At 51.3% G+C, this 22,246-nt stretch overlaps 1 protein-coding gene across 1 annotated transcript, besides 3 other annotated features; it reads left to right on the top strand.

The window, feature by feature from the left end:
* Nucleotides 923-14,303, top strand: GDF10 (growth differentiation factor 10). Its single transcript, NM_004962.5, has 3 exons — nucleotides 923-1,696; nucleotides 10,522-11,447; nucleotides 13,327-14,303. The coding sequence occupies exons 1-3, from the start codon at nucleotides 1,378-1,380 to the stop codon at nucleotides 13,516-13,518; spliced, it is 1,437 nt and encodes a 478-aa protein (NP_004953.1). The 5' UTR covers nucleotides 923-1,377; the 3' UTR covers nucleotides 13,519-14,303.
* Nucleotides 11,056-11,556: an enhancer, noted in NCBI's record as "H3K4me1 hESC enhancer chr10:48428532-48429032 (GRCh37/hg19 assembly coordinates)". NCBI's record gives its function as "activates a minimal SCP1, AML or CMV promoter by ChIP-STARR-seq in naive H9 embryonic stem cells {active_cell/tissue: H9 hESC(naive)}" and the evidence as "EXISTENCE:reporter gene assay evidence [ECO:0000049][PMID:30033119]".
* Nucleotides 12,655-13,155: an enhancer, noted in NCBI's record as "H3K4me1 hESC enhancer chr10:48426933-48427433 (GRCh37/hg19 assembly coordinates)". NCBI's record gives its function as "activates a minimal SCP1, AML or CMV promoter by ChIP-STARR-seq in naive H9 embryonic stem cells {active_cell/tissue: H9 hESC(naive)}" and the evidence as "EXISTENCE:reporter gene assay evidence [ECO:0000049][PMID:30033119]".
* Nucleotides 12,956-13,105: an enhancer, noted in NCBI's record as "active region_3326". NCBI's record gives its function as "activates an Ori minimal core promoter by ATAC-STARR-seq in GM12878 lymphoblastoid cells {active_cell/tissue: GM12878}" and the evidence as "EXISTENCE:reporter gene assay evidence [ECO:0000049][PMID:35858748]".

Raw genomic sequence — 22,246 nt, forward strand, 5'->3', positions numbered from 1 at the left:
ATACTTTGATGAATCCGCAACCACTCTCATGTGATATGAAAATATCTGTGGATGGTGCCTATTGGTGACAAAGTCACTAATACCACTGTGGTTGGTTGCTTGCATTTATAACATTAGTTAATGCTAAGTTTCAGTTAGAGTTAATGAAAATAAAGATGTATTTTTTTCCCCATCAAGTTCATAAGAGCCCTTGAATTCTATCAATGGAGAAGAAATCCTGCTAGAGGCAAGACAAAGATCAGGACCTTCTGCCCCAGGGTTAAGCTGAGGGGCAGTGGGCCAGGGACTCACTACACCCTCACTTCACTGGGAATCCTTCTTAGGAAAGCCACTGCTTTCTCTCTTCCTGCTCTGATGCTTTGGAAATGTTTTTAAAGGCAAATTGAAAGCATGTCTTATTCCTGCAATCCTGAAGGCCACATGTCCAAAGATTAATAAGGACCTTTGATGTGTTTCTTCAACAACTGAAATTACTCTCGTCAAATAAAGGGCTGGTTAATGAGCTAATTCTGAGTTTTAATCACGATCTTGTTCCAGTTCCCTTGGGTGGCATGAGCTTTGGGGTGAGGGCTTTTCTTTACGGAGTCAGCCCAGAGAGGATCTCTGTTCCCCACACTCTCACATTTTGGACATACGCTGACTCCGAGGCAACTGGGCGCACACATATCCCCTCTCTGGTCCTCACAGGGGAGCTGTCATCTTGCAATCACATAGCCATCGCATGCCATTGCAGGGGCAACCCAGCAGGCAGGCCCCCCTCCAACTGCCGCCCAGCCCCCCTCGCAGCCAGGGCAGGCTGCGGCGCCGACACACAGGAGCCGGCTGCGGGGCTGGGTCTCGGGCTCTCGGCTGGGGAGCGGGGAGCGCGCTCGCCCACGCCCCCCACACTCGCGGGCGCACACCCCGGCGCGCGCACGCTGCCACACACGGGCGCACGCACACGGCAGCCGGGCCAGGGACGACCCTGTCAGCTGCAGCCCCAGAGGTCCGGGGCGCGCAGCCGGGTCCCCTCGAGGGCGCAGCCGGCCGCCCCGCCCCGCCCCTCGAAGCAGCCGGGCCGGGCGCGCAGTGGGCTACAAACTTTCGCGGCGCGAGTCCGCCAAGGCAGCGCGCCGACTCGGGCTCGGCTCGGCTCTGCGCTGCTCCGGACGGCTGTGACCGCTGGCCGGGGGCTCGGGCCGCCGGTACCCACGGACCGCGCGCCCGGGTGCCTGCTCCGCTAAGCCCCTCGCCCCGCGCGGACCTCGGTATCCAGCGCCCTGCTGCCCGGGCTCTCCCCGCGCGCCCTACTGCCGCGAGGTCAGTCCGCAGCCTCCGGTGCGCCAGCGCTCGCCTTCCTCCTCCTGGACTTCGGCCCTTTGCCGCCCTCACCACGCCATGGCTCATGTCCCCGCTCGGACCAGCCCGGGACCCGGGCCCCAGCTGCTGCTGCTGCTGCTGCCGTTGTTTCTGCTGTTGCTCCGGGATGTGGCCGGCAGCCACAGGGCCCCCGCCTGGTCCGCACTGCCCGCGGCCGCCGACGGCCTGCAGGGGGACAGGGATCTCCAGCGGCACCCTGGGGACGCGGCCGCCACGTTGGGCCCCAGCGCCCAGGACATGGTCGCTGTCCACATGCACAGGCTCTATGAGAAGTACAGCCGGCAGGGCGCGCGGCCGGGAGGGGGCAACACGGTCCGCAGCTTCAGGGCCAGGCTGGGTAAGTAGAGGGTGCCCCAGGACCCCTTCTCCTCATTCTCCACCTTCCTCACTTTTCTGTCTCCCCACCCGTGCACCTCTACTTTTCCTCTTCTAGCCAACGGGTGAGTGGTTCATTCATTCTTTCACTAATGATTCACTGATCTCTCCATGCCAGGCCCTGAACCTCCAGTGGGGCACCAAGAGTGGCAGCAGGTGGCACAGAGGTCCTGCCCCTGGGGTGCTCCCACATTGCTGGACATACACAGACTACCCCATACACAAGGCTGTAAGCACAGAGAGTGGAAGAGGGGACATAGGCCAGGGGAGTATCCCTGTCATAGGGTCAATTATGTGGGCATTTTACAAATGAGAAGGGCACAGCCAGTGAACATAGGCAGCCCTGCAGAAGCTCCAGGCACTGGGCCCTGTCAGGAAGCAGGAGCCCCTAGCTGGCGTCAGCTATGGTTCCTGTGTCCAGGGAAGCAGAGTGGACTGAGAAGGGCCTTGGCTGCCCGGGATTGAGGACTTCCACGGACTGGCATGAAGCGTTCAGACCACAGGGGTTTAAGGAAAGGCCCAGGGGCTTAGGCAGTGGGAACACTCTGCCTATCTCCGGCCTCTGTCCCACCTTTCCACTTCCTCAGCCCCTTGGATGGAGCTGGGCAGAGGGCACTTGCAAAGGCCCATGCTGCCCTGTTCTGAGAGCACTTCCAGGCTCCTGCCTCAGCAGCCTGCCCACCTTTGCAGGCCCTGGGTAGAGAGGAGGTGCAGCCAGGGCCACAGGGGTGGTGAGAAGACCCTGGTTGTCATGGTGATTACTCCTGGTTGCAGAATAATGTTCCAGAAAATGTGGGTGGGGGTCTCCTGCAGCTCTGCAGAAGATGAGGCCATTCAACAGGAGAAAAATCTGCAGTCTACAGGCTCCCCTCCTGAGGGAGAGGGAAACAAGCCTAGCTGTGGAGCTAGACAGCCTGGGGTCAGATCTGTCACTGGCTGTGTGACTCAAGGTAACATCTGTGGCCTCTCATAACCATGGATTGGGGAGCACCTGCCACAAAGAGGCCCCATGCCCTCCTCCTCCACTTAGCAGACTCACCAGGTCAGTGGCCCTGGGCTCCAGGCCAATTGGATCTAACTCCATCCTCACTCATAACTTTCTTGCACCATGTGGGGTCCATTTCTTGAGGAACGTTATTAAATTAAACCATTTAAGAATCATCTGGCATGAACATGACCTTGGGTAAATCACTAAAGCTAGGTGGACTTGAGTGTATTCATCGATAAAATGGGCAAGGCTTGCCAATATCTCCCCTGTGCAGTTGAAGGGAAGATGAAATGAGGTCATATGTGCAAGCTCAGAGCCCAGCACTGGCCAGATTAAGTGTTGATGTACGGGATTCCCCTGGGAGCACAAATAATCGTGCTAAGTATTGTGTATTCCTGTGGGTTTAAACTTGACCTTGCTTCTCTATTAACTCAATCCTCAAAGCCTTGTAGTTGAGGAAGCAAGGCCAGCAGGGTCACTGCTGCGACACGGGTGAGCCTGCCCACTGAGCCCATCTACTTGCTGCAGCCAGGCATGGAGATGCCTTCTTGTGTCATTCTGTTTTCACAGAAAGGGGGTAGTACAAGTAGCAGTGGAGTTCAGGTTATTAATCTCAAAAAGGACCTGAAGACAGTATCTCAAATCCAGCACTCCCACTTTAAAGATAAGGAAACTGAGACTCAGTGGTTGTTCACAGTGGCAGGGGTTGGCAACTCCCATCTGCCAGGTCATTGCTGTTCTCACTGTCACTCCCCACACCCTGTCATCTCCCTCAGAGCTATGACCAGGGTCTGGGAGGGGTAGGGTGAAACAGACAAGCCTGGGAAATCAGGATTCTGGTAGTCTGGAGTGTCTGACAAATCCCTCTTCTTTGGAAGCCTGAGGCACATTTGGGTGTGAATCCCAGCTGTACCAGCTACCAGGTGTGTGCAGTGGCACAGGTTAGTTTACCTCTCTGAGCATCAGTTTCCTTGTAGTACAGTGAAGAAGTGAGGATTAAATGGGCTAAGCAGGTTTTGTGCTTTGCATACAGTGGGGGCCCAGGCAGGTTGCTTGATCCTCTCCTCCCTTGATTCATCTGAGTGTTTCATGCCAAGCCTCTTGCCTGCCCTCAGATGTGCCTACTTCCTGATCCAGTGACCTGTCTGAGGAGGTATGAGTTTGGGCAGGGACCCTTCTCTCATGGATGATGCCACCCATGTGGGAGGCTTCAGCTCTGGTCCGAGAACATGCCAGTCTCAGCCTGCTCCCCAGTGGTGGGTTTCTGCTGCCTCAGTGGGGCAGCACCTCTTCCTGAACAACAAATGCCTCCATCCCCACAGCCTGCGATACGTAACTATACCTCCCCCGCCACCGGGCAGTGCAGCTCAGCTGCCAAGTGCTGGCTGTGAGCTGGCCTCGTGGGGTCCAAATCCCAATTCTGCGATCTGGGCAAGGGACTGAACTTGTCCATGACTCAGTTTTTTTCACTTCTAAAATGGAGCTAATAGTGCTCCCCTCCTTATAGGATTTTTTTTAATGGAAACTGAGATATGTCAAGTGCTTACACCATTCCTGACACAGGTAAGTGTCAATGGTGTATTAGCTCTTGCTGTTGATATACCAGCCACCCCTTCCTTCCTTCCCTCATTGCTCCCTGAAGTGAATTTCGTTCCTTATTAAATCTGCATCGGTGGGGAAAGCCTATGAACCTGACCCTAAGGGTTAAGGTTAGACCACCCCTAATTCCCACTGAATGACGTGTGTTTAAATGTAAGCTTTGTCACCTACCAATGTGATACTGAGTTGGTTTTCTTCATCTCTAAATTGAAAATAATACTACATACTCACCTGTCAAAAATGCCAAAATTCAAGTTGATTTCAGTTCCCCAAGTATTCCCTAAGCACTTCGTTTGGTAGCAGATGCTGTAAGCTCAGGGAGCACAAAGATGCCCAGAAAAGCTCATAAACTAGCAGGGCAGATCAAAGTAAGCAGCAGAATAGGGCAGCAGGCCTGGGGGGTGGCATATAAGAAGGAGGGCAGGGGTGCTGCGGGAGCCCAAAGGCGCACTGACCTGGCAGGGGCAGAGCCTCTGGGTGGGGCCAGGAAAGCCTTCCCAGAGCAGGCCAGGCCCCAGCCACTTTGAAGGGCAGGTGGGCCTTAGCCAGGTGCGGAAGTGAAGCTGTTCACTGTGTTCAGAGACTGCCAGGAGTTTGGTTTTAATGATAACGCAAGGAGAGAAAGGCAGGAGATGGAGACGGACAAATAGGTTGCAAGCAGGCCATGGAGAGCCATGAGTATTATGAATTTGTTCCCCCATAGGCAATGGGGCAATATACAACGTGCATGCGTAAGGGACAGAAGGAAGGAAGGAGGGAGAGAGAGAAGAATAGAGGGGAGAGAGAGAAAGGAGAGAGGGAGAGAGAGGGAGGAAGAGGAGAGACTGCAGGGAAAAAGAGGGATAAAGGAGAGAGAGTGATTATAAATAAATGCATGCTTATTGGGGAAAACCTGGAAATTATAGAAGATCACAGTAAAGAACATAAGTCATCCCTAATCACATAGCCAGATATAACCGGAATTGTTAGTATGATATTTTGGTAGAATCATTCCAGCCATATCTATCTATCTATCTATGTCTCCACTATCTATATCTCCATTGTTTTACCCTTATATGTAAGATATATATGGATATATGGATATATTTGAGAGATATATATGTGAGATATATGTGGATACATCTTTTATGGATTATATTTTCAGCATGCAGGTAAAACTTGCAGGTATTTCCATTTGAAATTACTTTTTTTCATTACTGGTCATCTTGAACTTTTCCCCATGCCTGCTGGCTATTTGCAATTCTTCCTGTGGAAACTGCCTCCTTGTATGGGAGTCCCTCCTTTGTCCTACTGATATGCAAAGGTTCTTTACACAGTAAGGATCTTAACCTTTCACTTCTAATAGAGAATTTGCTTTTGAGACATGAGTGCGATGTAAGAGGGAACAAAGTTCTGGGACCACTGTTGTGGTTGAGTCTGGAGCCCTGAGCGCAGGGTGGAAAGATGCTGTGTTCAGGATGGTTGTGTAGAAACAGGAAGCAGAGCAAACAGGGCCTGGAGATTGGTTAAAAGCAGGAATGGGAGAGGCAAAAGAGTTCTCAGGCTCCTGCTGGAAGGGCTGGAGGAGAAGTGAGGCCTCCCACTGGGCAGGAGGTCAGGGAGCAAGGGTGTAGTGCCCTGAGGGTGGCAATAGTTCCTGAGGCCATAACTGTTCTGAGCCCTTGCTGGGTGCCAGGCACAGTGCTGCTAGTGCGCTCTGCAGAGCTGATCTCACAATAACTTTTGGAGGTGCAAATACTCTATCCAGTTTATGAATGAGGAAACTGAGGCACAAAGTGGCTCCATGACTTGCCTGAGTCCCCACAGCTAGTAAGGGATGCCAGCAGGCGTTGAACCTCAACCCTAGAGCCTGCATGGAAACGGGCACTAAGTACTAAATCTGTGTTAGTTCCCTGCTCTTCTCTGCAGCACCGTCTGGCCCACCGCCCCTTCCTCCAGCTTCTGTTGGTGCATGCATCTAAGCCCAGCGTTCTCACTGATTGCCCTAGTGGCTGTTTGAGGGGCAGTGGGTGAAGGGACAGATCTCCAAACCGTCTTGGAATCTTTTTATATAGGGCAGAGCATCTAAGGGGCTGCTCTTGGCCTGAGAGTTGACCAGCAGTGGGGCTGGACAGGCCTTTGGATGAGGAAGTCCCTTCCCCCAGTACCATCCCCACTGCCCTCAGGAAGGAGGCTGAGTGCCCAGCAAAGTGGACCTGGTCACAGTTCTGAGAATTCCCAAGAGCCACTGAGATCAGCTTGTCTAAATAAAGTCAGTCTTTCTCTTCTTAGGGAGTCAGAACTCAAAAATATCAAAATAATGACCTCTGTTTGCAAAACGTGCTGCAGTTCACAGCACATGATCTTTGTCCATTAGCTCTTAGGCAGATCATGAACATATCCAGAACACATGGAGGAGCAAAAGGCATGGGCTTGGGGTCAGACAGAGCTGGGTACAAGCCCCGACTCCACCCCTTGCCAACTGTGTGACTTTAGGCAAATTGCACACCCTCTCTGAAGCTTCAGCTCTTTGTCCACAGAATGAATGACCGCTCCCTACTCTCTTCATGGTGAAAATGATGAATCAAGCATGCAGAACACTCAGCATAGGACCAAGCACATACACTTGGAGCTCAGAATGTCATAATTAATAAACAATTTTCTTCCAATTTAAAGATGAGAACACTGAGGCTCAAGGGGAAGTCTGGCTAAACACCTGGGTGCCCACTGTCTCCATTTGGATTTGCATCATCAGCTGCATCTTTGTAAAGAATGAGGATTCCTTGACTTCTTAAGGCTGTGGTTACTGCACTCTAGGGAAGCATGCCAGGAACCCCCAGTGTTAACTGAAGTAACAGACCACACTTCTCTTGTGCCCACTTGGGCAGGATTTTCACAGACAATCTCATTCAACATGCATCTCTGAGCTCCAACTGTCACCTAAGCCTTATGGTGAGGTCTAGCGGTGCAGTAGTGAATAAAACTGGCAGTGTCCCTGTCCCGTTAGAGTTTATGTTTTAGGAAGATAAGAGCAGTAAATCAGTATACAGCAGGATGTCAGGAAGTGCTCTGAAGGCCAATGAAGCAGGGGCAGACAGAGTGATGAGGCTGTTCTCCAGCCACGGGAGCCCAGGGGACCCATTGTGGGAGGTTCCATTTGAGCAGATACCTGAAGAGGTTGAGTGGTACTGGATGGGGAACCATGAAGGTGGAAGGAAGCGTGAGGCACAGTCCTGAGAATAAAGCCACATGTTGGAAGGAGAAGAACGCCAGTGTGACGGGGGCAGAGGGGTGGGGTTGGGCTGTGGATAGGAGATAAAGTTGCAGAGGTAGGCAGGCCAGATCAAGTAAGGCCTTGGTAAGGGGTTGAGTTTTATTTGGGGCAATGGAGGGCTCCGAGCTTGGGGGGTGACCTGTGATGGAATGCACCCAGCACACCGGGGGCCTCGCTTGGACAGTGCTCTTTAAAACTGTGACATGAGGAGACACTGAAGACGGGTGTCATTGCCATTACCAGTCTGTCTCCCCTCTAGGCTGAACTCCTCCTGGGCAACTTTGTTATCTGTCTCCCCTCTAGGCTGAACTCCTCCTGGGCAACTTTGTTATGACCCTGGTCAGCCCAACTTAGCCTGGAGTAGGAGTTTTGCAAATCTTTATCAGGAAAACAAAGAGAAGAAGAGGAAGAAAGAAAGGAAAAGAGGGTGGATAGAAAAGGGGAAAGAGGGGAAGAAAAGAGAGGAGGGAGGAAGGCAGAGAAGAAAGAAGAGAGAAAAGACATGAATCACAGAGCACCAGCACGCATCAGAGGAAATAATGACGTTCTCTTCAATGCTTCTCTCTTATGGCTTGGGCTCGGCTAAACTGAAAGATTTCAGGTTGAGGTCCCTTCTCTGAGCCACAGCCTGGAGCCCCCTGCACTGCGTACATGCAGAAACATCCAGAGAGAGGACCAGCCTGTGGTCCCTCATGCACTGGGGCTGGGGGTGACCCATCTTGTCCCCAGCAGTCCCCAGCAGGGAGGGTCTTCCCAGAGCAGGCTGCCCAGTGAGGGCTGAGCTCCCTCTGGCAGGAGGCATTCAAGCCACATGGAGGTAGGACTTATACCCTTTTGCACAACCTCAAAGGTTCCTCCCCACTCTGAATCTGTTAGCAGAACAATGGAGGAGTTGAGACTTGAACTGGATCAAAGAAAAACAATGTGCTGTGTTGGCTGGGTTGCAGCTCAGATATTTGGATCAGTGAATGCAAGGTACCCCAGTTGATGGAGGGGAGCTTGCTCTGCCAGCCTTGGTCCTTTAGATTCAAGAGGCAGAAAGCACATTTGGGGGCACCTCCTTTGTACCTGGCACTTCACTAGGCTGTTTCTGTGATCTTCCAGACAATCCTCTGTGTGAGATGGAGGCTGTTGTCCCTGTGAGGCAGATGGGGAAAGCAAGGTTCAGGGCGTGGCGCCACTGAGTCCTGGGAGCTTGGTTCCTAGGGCATTTTCTAGCTTGGGGATGGGGGGGTGCAACATTATTGGTGAACTTTCACCCCATCCATCGGTCAACCCCAGATGCTGCAGATACACCACCGCTACCACCGGAGTGAGCTATCAGCTGCCACTGACTTCCCAAACTTCCCTGATGGCCAGAGTCCCCTGGAGTGCTGATTAAAATGTGGAAGTCATTGTTATGCAGTCAAGGCCACATGCTTGGGGAAGCCAGGTTCAAGTGTGCATTGAGACCCTGGGCTGCTGCTTATGTGTGGAGCATGTTGAGGGGCTGTGACACTGTCCTGGCAGGTTTGTTGTGAGGATTAAATAAGGTAATGGCTTCAGTGCCACCTGAGCCTTTACTGGCATTTATTTATCAGGCCTTCCATAGATGTGCTTCTCTGTTTCTTCCCGCTCATAGTCCCTTAAGAGTATGTGAACAATCCCAGTTGAATTATGCCTTCTTCCCAACAGAAACAAAGAAGAGAAAGTGGAATATTTCTGTTAAAAAAAAAAATCCCTGCAGATGCTGTAGGTACAGGGGTCAGAGAGGTGTGGCCCTGACCCATGCCCCTAGAGAGCCCAGTGTCCCCCACACACACTTCCCGGGCTTGGGAGCCCTGCTCCTCTCCAGACGTTCCCCAGCAGAAGGACACTTCGTTGTCAGGAAATGAAGCAGTGGAAAGGAGAAAGCCAGCCTGGCCTCTCTGGTGTCCTGTTAGTGTGCGGCATCCTAGGGAGGCACCAGGAAAGACTCCCCACTCCTCAGAAGCCTAGAGCGGACTTGGCCATTTGAGAACGCTCACTGATATATAATAATGTTTAGGCGATTCAAACCTGACACAATACTCATGCTGCTGCCAAGGTTGGGGCAGCTTCCTGGGACTGCTGACATGGCTGTGCTGCCCTGGTGCCCTGGGGAACGCCTGCTTCCACCAGGCAAATAGGAAGGAGTGGCCGGCAGCCCCAGGGAAGCCGGAGCTGGAGCATTCTTGAACCAAGTTGCAGATGTAATGGTTGAGACGTCCCGGTCTTTACCTGGACCTTGGAGATTTAGTCAGGTTGCCTTGTGTAATCCTGATGCTGCTCTTTTCTTGTTAAAACAATCTTAAAAGTCCTCAGGCAGAACAAAGAGCAGATGCCTAAATGGCTGTACTTTTGATCCTGGTTTCCCTTAGGAGGTGCTCAAAAAGCATGAGCGTTTATTTATTTCGTCTCTTTTGGAAGAATGTTTGGGTTTAATGTGAAGTGTATTTAATGATTGCATTTAAAAACTGATTGCATAAATAGAGGGCTGTGCAAATACAGGAGGGGCTGCCTTGATGCAGGGCTTGGACCCAACCCAAGCCATCCTGAGCACTTAATGAAGGTGTCAGTGACATTTGTTCATTTGTGCATGCAGAGGCAGTAGAGGGCAGGGGGAGCAAACAGGAGCTTTGGAGTCCAGCAGGCCCGAATGCCTCCCTGTCTGCCCCTATTTCTTTGCTGTTGCTTTTTGTTGTTGTTGTTGTTTGCTACGGGATATTGACAATCTCAACCTTAATTCCTCACCTGTGCACTGAGGATTGCAAAGGGCGCCCTCATCAGTTTCATGTGAGGATTACACGAAAGGAGGGAAGCAAAGCGGGGGAGGAGGATGGTCCTGAAAGTGTGGATCGGTGGGCGTTTGCTCCTCCAGCCCTGGGTGGGAGACCCTCAGGAGCACGAGCGAGAACTTCACAGCCTGTGGTCTCTCCTTCCCTCACAGAAGTGGTCGACCAGAAGGCCGTGTATTTCTTCAACCTGACTTCCATGCAAGACTCGGAAATGATCCTTACGGCCACTTTCCACTTCTACTCAGAGCCGCCTCGGTGGCCTCGAGCGCTCGAGGTGCTATGCAAGCCGCGGGCCAAGAACGCTTCAGGCCGCCCGCTGCCCCTGGGCCCGCCCACACGCCAGCACCTGCTCTTCCGCAGCCTCTCGCAGAACACGGCCACACAGGGGCTACTCCGCGGGGCCATGGCCCTGGCGCCCCCACCGCGCGGCCTGTGGCAGGCCAAGGACATCTCCCCCATCGTCAAGGCGGCCCGCCGGGATGGCGAGCTGCTCCTCTCCGCCCAGCTGGATTCTGAGGAGAGGGACCCGGGGGTGCCCCGGCCCAGCCCCTATGCGCCCTACATCCTAGTCTATGCCAACGATCTGGCCATCTCGGAGCCCAACAGCGTGGCAGTGACGCTGCAGAGATACGACCCCTTCCCTGCCGGAGACCCCGAGCCCCGCGCAGCCCCCAACAACTCAGCGGACCCCCGCGTGCGCCGAGCCGCGCAGGCCACTGGGCCCCTCCAGGACAACGAGCTGCCGGGGCTGGATGAGAGGCCGCCGCGCGCCCACGCACAGCACTTCCACAAGCACCAGCTGTGGCCCAGCCCCTTCCGGGCGCTGAAACCCCGGCCAGGGCGCAAAGACCGCAGGAAGAAGGGCCAGGAGGTGTTCATGGCCGCCTCGCAGGTGCTGGACTTTGACGAGAAGACGATGCAGAAAGCCCGGAGGAAGCAGTGGGATGAGCCGAGGGTGTGCTCCCGGAGGTACCTGAAGGTGGACTTCGCAGACATCGGCTGGAATGAATGGATAATCTCACCGAAATCTTTTGATGCCTACTACTGCGCGGGAGCATGTGAGTTCCCCATGCCTAAGGTAGGGTTTCTTCCGCCTTTTGCCAAATTCTAAGGCTCAGCTCTGCCGCTACCGTCAAGTTCCTCAGCCTGCAGGACTTCTGTTTCCCCATCTGCAAAATGGGAATAACAGTACTTCCTATCTATTCCAGGCAGGAAATAGGTAGACATAGGTCACCAAGTGGCAGCCCGTAGGGTAGTTGCCGCCCACATATGTGTGAGTTTGGCTGTGTTTTTTGAAGTATTGGCTTGGTTGAATTGGGACTTTAAAATGAGAACATTCTTTTGAAAAGCAGGAGAATCCATGTCTTTAGAAACGCATCCCCACATAGCAACTATCTGCAGAGGTTGAGTAGATGCTGCTTCCTGTACACACGGCAGGTCCCAGAAGCTCCCTCCTGACCAAGGCTCTCATTTCTGTTCCCAGCCTGGACCCCAGAGTGTGGCAATCTGTGACTAGCACAGTGCTAGCCTCAGCAGCTCTCCCACTGTAGATTCCCTCCTCCTTGCAGCTCAGGGCAGGAATCCACAGGGAATAGGCCTTCACTGTGCACAGGGTCTGCAGGACACACAGCACTGGGCTGTTCTGTCTGTTGCACCAGCCTAAGGATTTCCAGTTCTCACCTTCGCTCCAGACTGGGCTGTGGCTGAGTCCATCCCTCTCCCTGCAGCCTGCTCTGCAGCAGCCTGGCTGCTTGTGATGTCAGCCCTCGGCACTCAGCACACAGTTTCTTCCTGCTTAGTTACTCTGCCCAGGGCAGGTCATGCCTTTCCCTCCAAGAAAAGAAAGTCAGTGCATAAATCCAATTTGAACTTAAATAATCAGCCAGCTGGGGAAGTCCAGACCCAGACATGGGGCAGCAGTAACGTGTTTGGGAATTAAATGGCTTCTCCTCAAAACTTCTCCTCAAAACCGTGCATGTGCAAGAGAGAGGGAGGTGCCTGACATAGAGACGGAGCCTGCTAAAAGGGCCTAGCAAAGACCCAGGCAGATGCAAGCCCGGAACCCTGAAGGCTTGCAGCTGGTTGGCCATGCGGTTAGCTTATCACCCTGGCTTGCTGCCTCCCCACCTTCCGGGACACCAGCCAGAACGCTGCAAAGGCAGGTGTCCCTGCCCTGCTCCCTTCCCACCACACCCACACAAGAGGGCTTCCTCCTCAACAGCACTACATATACAAATCTCTGTTTGGCTGGTGATGCACTGAAGTGGATGACCCGGTTGGTTCATCTTGTCAGAGGTGGGCACAGTTTTCCAAGCCAGGTCACTTTCTAACTAGGGGTCTTGGTCAAGTTACTCAGTCATTTTAAACCTCGGTGTCTTCCCAGTAAAGTCCAGGTAATACCCACCCCATAAAATTGCTAAGCTGACAAAAAAAAGGGGGTGATGCAGGGAGAGCAGCCCCTAGGAAATGTCAATGTCCAGCCTGTCACACTGCCACGCACATGCCAGGCCTTCCCTTCAGTGACAAGAGCACAACCTCGTGAGAAGCATGCCTGTCCTCCTCAGACTGCGAGACCAGGGCTGTGCTGGCATCTCGCTGGGTTTTCCCTCTGGGCAGCTTCTGCCTGCTTCCTGGTGCTCCGCGGGGATGTGTGACACTCAGGCGCCCCCATGTGGCCCTGCCGTGTTGGGGACACAGCGTGCCTCAGGGAAGCCAAAGGGCAGGAAGGCCTGGGGGCTCTTGGAGACCTCAGCCCGGAACTCAGCGTATGTCTGATTTTAGAGGAACCGTGTGCCCCGCCTTGGGATCTCGTCCATTCCTCTAGGTGGATGCCTATTCTGTGGCCTCAGCCGGGGAACAACAGCAGAGCAGTATGGCCTGGGACTGTGAGGATGGCATGGGTGCGTGGGTGGGTGAGGGCGGAGCTGAGGTAACCCTACTCCTTTTCTGCCTTGCAGATCGTTCGTCCATCCAACCATGCCACCATCCAGAGCATTGTCAGGGCTGTGGGCATCATCCCTGGCATCCCAGAGCCCTGCTGTGTTCCCGATAAGATGAACTCCCTTGGGGTCCTCTTCCTGGATGAGAATCGGAATGTGGTTCTGAAGGTGTACCCCAACATGTCCGTGGACACCTGTGCCTGCCGGTGAGACCACTCCAGGGTGGAAAGAAGCCACGCCCAGCAGAGCTGCCTTCTCGGAGCCTTCTGCAACCAGGACTTGTGGTGCAGCTGCAGACACAGAGCACAGCTCATGGGCAACATCACTGGGGCCCAGAGAGAGCTGTCCGCCAGTGCATCATTAGGGGGTCTTTCATTGCTAGTGACTAGCCCCTTAAATGCCAGCCTGAGTACCTGAAGGAATCTGGGAATTAGCCCTGGCCTGAAAGTGGCCCATCATTCATACCCACTGTTCTGAAGGCTTGAAAACAAAACATATCCACAACATTGGCTTGATGTGATCATCATCTCATAACTGAGCAAGAAGACTATGCAAATCTTAGGGCGCTCGCTCCCTGCACACGGAAAGAACTCTGTTTAAATGCTCAGTTCAGAACACTTTGGGCCACATAGTGATTTTGGAAAACAGGATAATCGTGGTGTAAATGAGTGTTTCCTTTCAAAGTCCACTGCAGAGCTTTTATCCATATGGTATGCACATGTAGCCAATATTGGTTTCTTTTTCTTAATATATATATTTTATTTTAAAACAACAAAAAGGGAGGGCGTTGACACCATTCCCCACAGAGATAGTCATGCTGAGTGTGGGTTGTTTAAACATGCATATTGAAATAACACATATAGTAACGTGGGAATACTAAAAAATAACCAAGATTTTATATTTTTGTAAATTATACTTTCTATACTGTAGATTGTGTATGTTATGTGTTTTTATGGAAAGCTAATAAATTAAAGGTACAGTGGTATCTTGAAAAACTGAATGTCACCCATTTCAAAATCTCACTGGCTCCCCATCTGTAAGTACACCATCTGGTGGTTGCTGGGGTCTCAGCCTCTTTTAGGGTCGCTGGAGTCCCCTAAGCCATCTCCATACTCCCTGGTGTCTGTCCCAGGCTCCAGAAACCCAGGCTTTCCCATGCTTTCCAGGGGCCTGTCCCACTACTGGTTCCTGCAAACCCAAGCTAGGCTGATGTTGAGAATGGACATGGCTCCAGACAGGGACAGTGGCCTCTCGGGGTTTCTCCTCATCCCCTAGCCTCAGGGACATGGATTGATTGGGAGGTGCCTGGGGTGTTTAAAAAAACATCTATGGTTGCCTGGTCAGAGATCTTTTACTTCTGGTAATTCATGGAGCAAGAGATTCAACATAAGTAGGGGTCTCTCCTGAGGTCCAAGGACTCATGAGGAAGTGGACGGGCCATGTGGTCTCCTGCACCTGCTTCTCTTTTGCTTGTGTGTAGAAGGATCACCCAAGCCACCCCAAATTGTTCCCTTATGCCCTTCGTTTACATTGCCTTATGATGGAGTGCCTGAAGCTGCTTAACCAGCATTTCTGAAAGAGAATCTGGATCCAATTTGAGACAGGTGTATATATAGCAGTCCCATCAGCTGGGACCTACAGATGACGTGGCCCCAAGTCTTAGAGGAAACTGCAAAGCCATAGTGGTTTTCTAAGAGGGGATGTCCAAGGAGAGAAGCAGCTCTGGTGTCTGTCTTGGGCCTTAGGCTGGGCTCTGGAGACCAGGATTCCTGTGCAAGGGATATATGGGGAAGTGCTCTCAGGAGACATGGGCAAGGGTGAGGTGAAGCAGAAAAGCAGGCTGGGAGCAATCCTGTGGGGAGCTTTGGAGCTTAGTTACTCCTCAGGGCAGTGTGGCCTCGAGCAAGGGAGCTGGGTGTTCAGGGCCTCTTGGCTTCTGGCTGCCCTGGGAAGGGCGATGTAAAGTCCCAGTTCCCTGGCCTTCTGCCCAGGCAGCCACAGTGATTCCAGGAGCCTAGGTAGCATCCGAAGAGTGGCAACTCCTGGAGGCGAAGCCATTGAAACTGGAGAATGATTAGCCAGAACTGGTAGGTGAGGGGGATGCGAGGGTGCCAGGGTGAAGCTCCGCAGCTTCTGCTCAGCATCTCCTATGAGGTGCTCCAAGTGACCCTGGGACACATGCGTGAGCAGCTGCCGTGGGGACCCCTACCTGCTGGGCACATGGCCCTGCCTGCTGACAGAGGTCAGGGGAGTGGTGGGATGGTCCTCCACACTCACCACCTTATTCCCTTACTCCCACAGGAACTGGACATGGGACCAAATTGTTCCCTTCAAGCTGCTATAGGTTGCTGGGCTGGCGCAAACTGGCCTGCACTTTAGTGCTTGGTTTGCCATGTCTAATTCTCTTTGGAACATGACAGGATATAAGTTAATAGCAAAATAAGTAAAAATATTGGGGCTTAATAAAACTCCAAGTCCCTTTCTTCTGAATATTCCATCCCTCATTTTCTTCTCATTCAACTGCCCCCTTTCTATTTTTGCTAAACATGGGCTGTCCAATAGTAGTTTTATCTTATTCTTTCTAGCACTTGCAGTTTCTGGGAGGCCTTCTGGATTCCCCCCAAATACCTGGAATGCCTCTGAGTCCTCATGTCTGGCTTACTGGGATTGGGGAGGGCAGGCTGGGACACTCTCCCTGGGTCCAGCTGTGGGCATGGCCTCCAGGCCTGTGCCTGGATGGAAGGTGCTCAGTTGTTGCCATCTTTCCTGGGCATGCCCTGAAGACCTTGGAATGTGAAATGGGGCAGGTCCCAACTGGGGACATGACATGTCCCAACTCTACAGTAGGAGAAGCTGGTATCATTAGTGACCCCTCCAATGTATAGAAGACCACGCAGTTACAGGATCTTGCTTAGCCTCACAGCAGCCTTGCAACTTACTGCCCAATTGGAGCTGCAGAAAAACAAGCTCAGGAAGGGTAAGTAACATGTCCATTGATGTCTTGCCAAGACCACAGGGAACATTAAGTTTGATGCTCAAGGCCGCCTGATTTAAGGCCTACATGACTGGCACTGACCCTGAACTTCCTGGCCAGTGATCCCCAGTCTGCTAGGATTGTCCCAACAACACTGAGGTTGGGACACAGTAAAGTGAGGTTAAAAAGAAATATGTTTATGAAATAACTTGTTTTTCCCTTAAAACAAAAAATGTCAACATTACATTGTCATAAGAGCCCAAAAGATTCCATCATACGGTCTGGACACGGTTTGCTGATGTCACTCAACTGGGCCTGTTTCATTCTGGAGGGAGCAGGGTGGTGGCCTGCAGCTGGGCCGCATCTCTGAATTTACACATCCTCTAGAAGGGCAGGGCCTCTTATAGATTAGTTCATGTGACAAACATAAATAGTACCATTGAGAGCTAAAAACTTGAGGGCTGGGAGAAAACTTCAGAAGGCTTCCAATACAACCTTTATACTTGAGAAATGGGGAGACTTGAGTCCTGGTACTACCAGGTGTTTTGCCTGGGGTGTCCCAATAGGTGCCTCTCTATGACTTCATAAAATGTCATCAGAGCAGAAGCTTATAACTCATGTTTCTTCTGTGGCCAGGATGGAGACAAAGCTGTGACTGAGGAACTTATGCATGTCTGAGGTGGGAAGGGGAGGATGAGAGGAGGAGACTCTGGAGGAGGAGGAATGGAGACGACTCCACAAAGAGGCTGACTTTGAGACCAAGCAGGACGAAAGAGCCGGGCTTGGCTGGTGGAATAAGGACATCACAAAGAGCGTCTGCAGCAGCGCATGCCAGGGAGGGCTTGAAGGTAGTGTCAGTGAGAAACCAGGAGGGCTGGCCAGCTGGCCAGCTCTGGCTGTGACTTGTGCACCAAAACACCAACATTAGAGTTCAAAACTATTTCCCTTTATCAAAACCTGGAAACATAAGATCCTTCACAGGTGTTTCTGGGATTTCCATTCCCCTTCTCTCTGCTCCCTGAGATAATAATGTCCATGAATCCTCTATCTATCCTGCCTCCAGTCCGCTCACTCACGCTCAGCCCAACCCCAAGCCATGCTCCTCTAGCATCTCCCAGCAGGCTTGTTTGTATGGGTCAGGGATAGGTGGGTCAGATGGAGAAGAAATATGTTTATTTATCCAATTATGTAGCATTTACTATGTGCCAAATACCATGCTAGGCAATGTATTCATATGTTTTCTCTTGGAAGGCTCTTATGAGTTCCCTCTTTTGTCAAAACCACTGTGCAAAATGCCTATCAGAGTTGCCTGGAGAGCTTGACACAGTTGGGCCCCCTAGCATTGTTTCTGATTCAGGTTGAGCCTTTATTTCTATCCAGTTCCCAGGCACTGCTGCTGCTGGCTCCATGGCCATGCTTTGAGAACAGGTTTTTTTAGTGATGTCTCCTGGGAGGGAAGGGGTCCCTGATGCTCTGGAGTCATGGTGTAACAGAAACTCAGGTGAATCCTTTCTCCCTCCATGAAGGAACACTGAGGTCAATGTCACCTTTTTGGAGGAACGGGCTTCAAGGATGCTTGAAATAAATGGATGAGTCAAGTTTACTTCTTTTGTTCATTGAATTGTGCTTCTTCCGTACCAATTGCAGTGATGCCATGGTTTCTGTAATTCACAAGTCCTGAGATTTGTGACCCTACTGAGGTTTTGGTTAAAAGTAACAACAGCACAGTCATGTGAAACCGTCTGGGTATTGAGAAGAGACAGGAGGACAGGGCCAAGCTGGCAGCCACTGGGGCAGAACCCAGCCTGACTAGCACCCACCACAGAGCATGCCGAGGTGTTCAAAGACATATGCAGAGACGAGCATGGGAGGCCTGCCCTGGAGGAGCCTTGGCTGGCTGTGAAGGCCCGGCAGGCTCACTGGGCATGTCAAATTGCTGCCAGCAGAGGAGCAGCCCTGGGGCCCTTTAGTGGTTGTTAGATGAATCCAACTGTTTCTTGGAACACAGAGGTTGCATGGTGCAGGAGTCCTAGGCAGGTACTAAAAGGCAGTCAGAACTGGCCCTGGTGGAGGACAGGGGGAAGGGACATGAGGTGGTCCTGGTGGAAGAGCACAGCTCCCTCTGCAGCTCCATGGAAAGGAAGGGCAGAGCTGTCCCAGGGGTGGGGGAGAGAGAAACAGTCACAGAAAGATCATGTACTGACAGGAGCAATACTAATGACTAGTTATTGCATGCTTACCCTGGGCCATATTCCTGTGGAACACCCAGGAATCTGTGGTGCCCTCTGGCCCTCTCCCTAGACTCACAGCACGGTAACAAATGTGATTCCTGAGCACGGCCCTGGACTAGCACAGGATGAGACCTGGCCACTGCTATACCTCCTTGGAGGCTGAAGCCCAGATCCTGTGGTTTGTCTCCTGAAAAAAGTGGGGGAAAATATAGTCCAGCCTAAGGAGCAATGCAAATTAGCATTTTTGTTGCTGCTGTTCATTAATTTGCCAAGGATTAGAAAGAAGTATTGGTTAACAGTGTGGTAAGATGAGTTCTTAGGCTCAGCTGAGAGTGAATATTTAAAAAGCATTTGTGGAAAGCCGCTTAGCAATGCTTACCAAGAGCTTTGCAAATGTTATGTATACCTTGACCTAGATATTCCACTTCCAATGACCTGTCCAATAAAATAATACAAAATATACACTATAACAATGTACGACAATGTGTCTTGCAACATTATCTTAATAGTCTTGATTGTCCTACCATTGGAAAATATTTGACTAAATTAAGATATGTCCATAGAACTGGAAAATGTTTAGTCATTAAAAATGAAGTTCATGGGCTGGACGCAGTGGCTCACGCCTGTAATCCCAGCACTTTGTGTAGTGGAGGCTGGCAGATCACTTGAGTCCAGGAGTTTGAGACCAAACTGGGCAATGACAGAACCCCATCTCTATAAAAAAATATAAAAATTAGGCTGGCGTGGCGGCTTATGCCTGTGGTCCCAACTACTCAGGAGGCTGAGATGGAAAGATCACCTGGGACCAGAGAGGTCGAGGCTACAGTGAGCCATGATCATGCCACTGCACTCCAGCCTGGGTGACAGAGTGAGATCTCGTCTCAAAAAAAAAAAAAAAAAAAAAAAAAAATGAAGTTCATGAAAAGCTTTTCACGAAGTGGGAAGGTATTTACACAATCCTTTCCCAGTACCTCCTCCTAGTGCCCAGACCTAGACCCTTCTGGGGTTCTTGCCAACCTGACTCTCTCCCTGTGCTGTCTGCGCCACGCCCATCCCAGGGTCCTAAGCCAATCAGGACATTCAGGACATTGCATTCCCCCAGCCACGGTGATTGGCTGGAGTGTTTGTAGATTATCCAATCAGAGTCAGAGAGACACCACGAGACTCCCTAGGACTTCCTGGAAAAGAGGCTTTTGCTCCTCCTTGACCCCACCTAGCTACCCATTTGAAAGGGATGCGGGCCGGCTGCAGTGAGCGGCCACCTTGCCAAGACACAGAGAGATGGAGCGTGAAGCCAACACAGTGTAAGGCAGGACTGAGAGAGGAGAAAGCATGGCTAGAACTTTGCCTGTACTGTAGCTCAAGCCACGCTAAAGCCAAACCGTTGCCAACCAAGAAGGTTTCATTAGTCAGGTGCAATCCACTTTGCTTAGGCCTGTTTGGATTCTGCTTTTCTGCAACCTGTGACAAAAGGAATCCAAATGACAACATTTTAAAAATTTTAATTAAAAAATTTTTGTCAAAGAGAAGCAAGCCTGTATATATCAAACCATGTATACCTCAAGTGGCTTCGAAAGTAAACCTAAGGCAGAGACTGAAGACACTTTGGTGTAGATTTTCTTAAATTTTATGCCAGTCTTTGCTTTATTTAGGTATAGACACATAAGACTACCATAATTCAGATCGTTAGTCTTTGAATAATCATGTGGACTGACTTCCCTGGGAAGTCGGTGAAGAATTAGAAAGTACACAATTTGGAGGAAGAGGGGGGAAAGGAGAGATAAATAAGACCTTCTGTGGTTCAAGTGAGGCAGCTCCTTCCTGAGGCCCCAACAATGCAAAGCTGGTGATAGCAGAGGGAGGGGTCCTTCTGCAGGAGGGAACATCCAGGGTCTGTTTCCTCCTGGGAAAATCAGAGCAAGTTTGAGACTTGTTCCCTAAGACCCAGAGTTAGGGGGATTTTCTCAGATGGACCAGGGTCCATTTGTATGAAAAGGTAACCAGGTCCCTGAAATCACCACCTGATGAAAGTGGGAGTCCCGCTGGTGACCTAGGCCCCCCGTAAGAGCCTACAGATTTGAGAAAGGGCTGGTTGGAATCGGTGTTTAACCATAACTGGCCTCTTACCTTCACCCAGCCACTGGCCACAGAGACACGCATGCTGGAGGTGGGTAAGCCCGGCACACGTCTAAGAACACTGTTACCTTATTGCCTCATGGGGGCCACCCCACAGACCTGGGCTAGAGGACATTCCAGCAGCTAAGAACAAGCAGCCGTTTAGACATGTAGGACCAGTGCCCAACAGCAAAGCCAGTGTTGTTGAGAAGCAACAGCAGGTGGGACCCCTCTCTCCCTCCCGCTTCCCAGCATGAAGAAGCTGGACTAACACCTTCATACCCTATCTCCTTTGGACTTAATTTACCCATGGAGCACTTGGACAATTCAGAAAAGGAGAAGACTAGACTTCCTGATAATATGGATCAGGAAACCTCAAGCAATCCATTTAATACAATGAAAGAGATGTGAACATATTGATATCTTGAGTTTGTGAGGCAAATCTTTTCAGATATACACCGGCATGTTGCATTGCACAGCTCCAGGGAAAGACACCCATGTCAGAGTCTGTGTGGCCAGCACCCACAGGCAGCTGTGATGACCCTGGATACAGTCAGGTCCATAGTCCTTCATCTGAGACCTCCAAGTAAAGAACCATCTGAGAACCTAGAGTTTCTTTTAATTCCTTTTCTGGGAAAACTTGACCTGAATGGACATTTGTGTCTTTATTTGTTTCACTGCAGAAATATTCATGTGTGTCATTATAAGGTGTTGTCTCTGACCCCTTTGGGAATGTTATTGCATATACACAATACAAAATCCCCCAAATCTGAAACTGTCGGAGTCTCAACACAATCCTGGCCACAATGGTTTCAGATATAGGATTGTGGAGTTGGATGTGTCTCAAAATGCTAACCATGGGCATCACTGGATGATTAAATTGTAGGTTATTTATTTTCTCTTTAATGTTTTCCATTTCCCAAGTTTTCTATACTATAGACTACTGTTATAACAGGGGAAAAAAATGTCACATTTAAAAAATAACGTCAGGTAGCAGCCCCTTGCTCCTCCCTGAGCACATCCAGGCCACTAGGCTATCCCTCTGCTCAGCCTCTCGTGTGTGAAAAGCTCCTGGCCAGACCATGTTGCAGGCATCTGCCCTGTCCTCACTCCTCCCGGACCACACCTCACTCCGCATTTGCAGCTCCATTTCTTGGGCATGGCACCCATTTATTCATCTTTTCTCTGCCCCATGGAATTCTTGCACTGAGCTGGATCAAAGCCCAGCACACTTCCAGTCCTCTTCCCAAGCAGCATTTCTGAAGCAGCACGCTTCCCGTCTTCCCCTGGCCCATGTCATCAAAGGACAGAGATAGCAAGTTCTATTCAGGCCCAGCCATTCAGGGGCTCCTGATTTCACCCATCCCCCTCTGCAATCTCTGACCGCAGCATGCTGTGGCCCCTCCTGCACCCCCCTAAACCTGCTCAGCTCTCTGCAGCCTCTCCCGGACAGCCTCACCAGCATAGAATACCTTCCCCAGAGTAAACCACCAGGCACAGCATACCCCAGAGTGTTTCTAACCATGATCCTTCTTTGCTTTGCTCAAAGCCACACGTGATGGAAATGGACAGAGTCTAAGTGTGGACATACTGCTCTTAACGCAGTCCCTGGGGCCCT

This window comes from Homo sapiens, chromosome 10 (assembly GCF_000001405.40).
Source record: "Homo sapiens chromosome 10, GRCh38.p14 Primary Assembly".
NCBI lineage: Eukaryota > Metazoa > Chordata > Mammalia > Primates > Hominidae > Homo > Homo sapiens.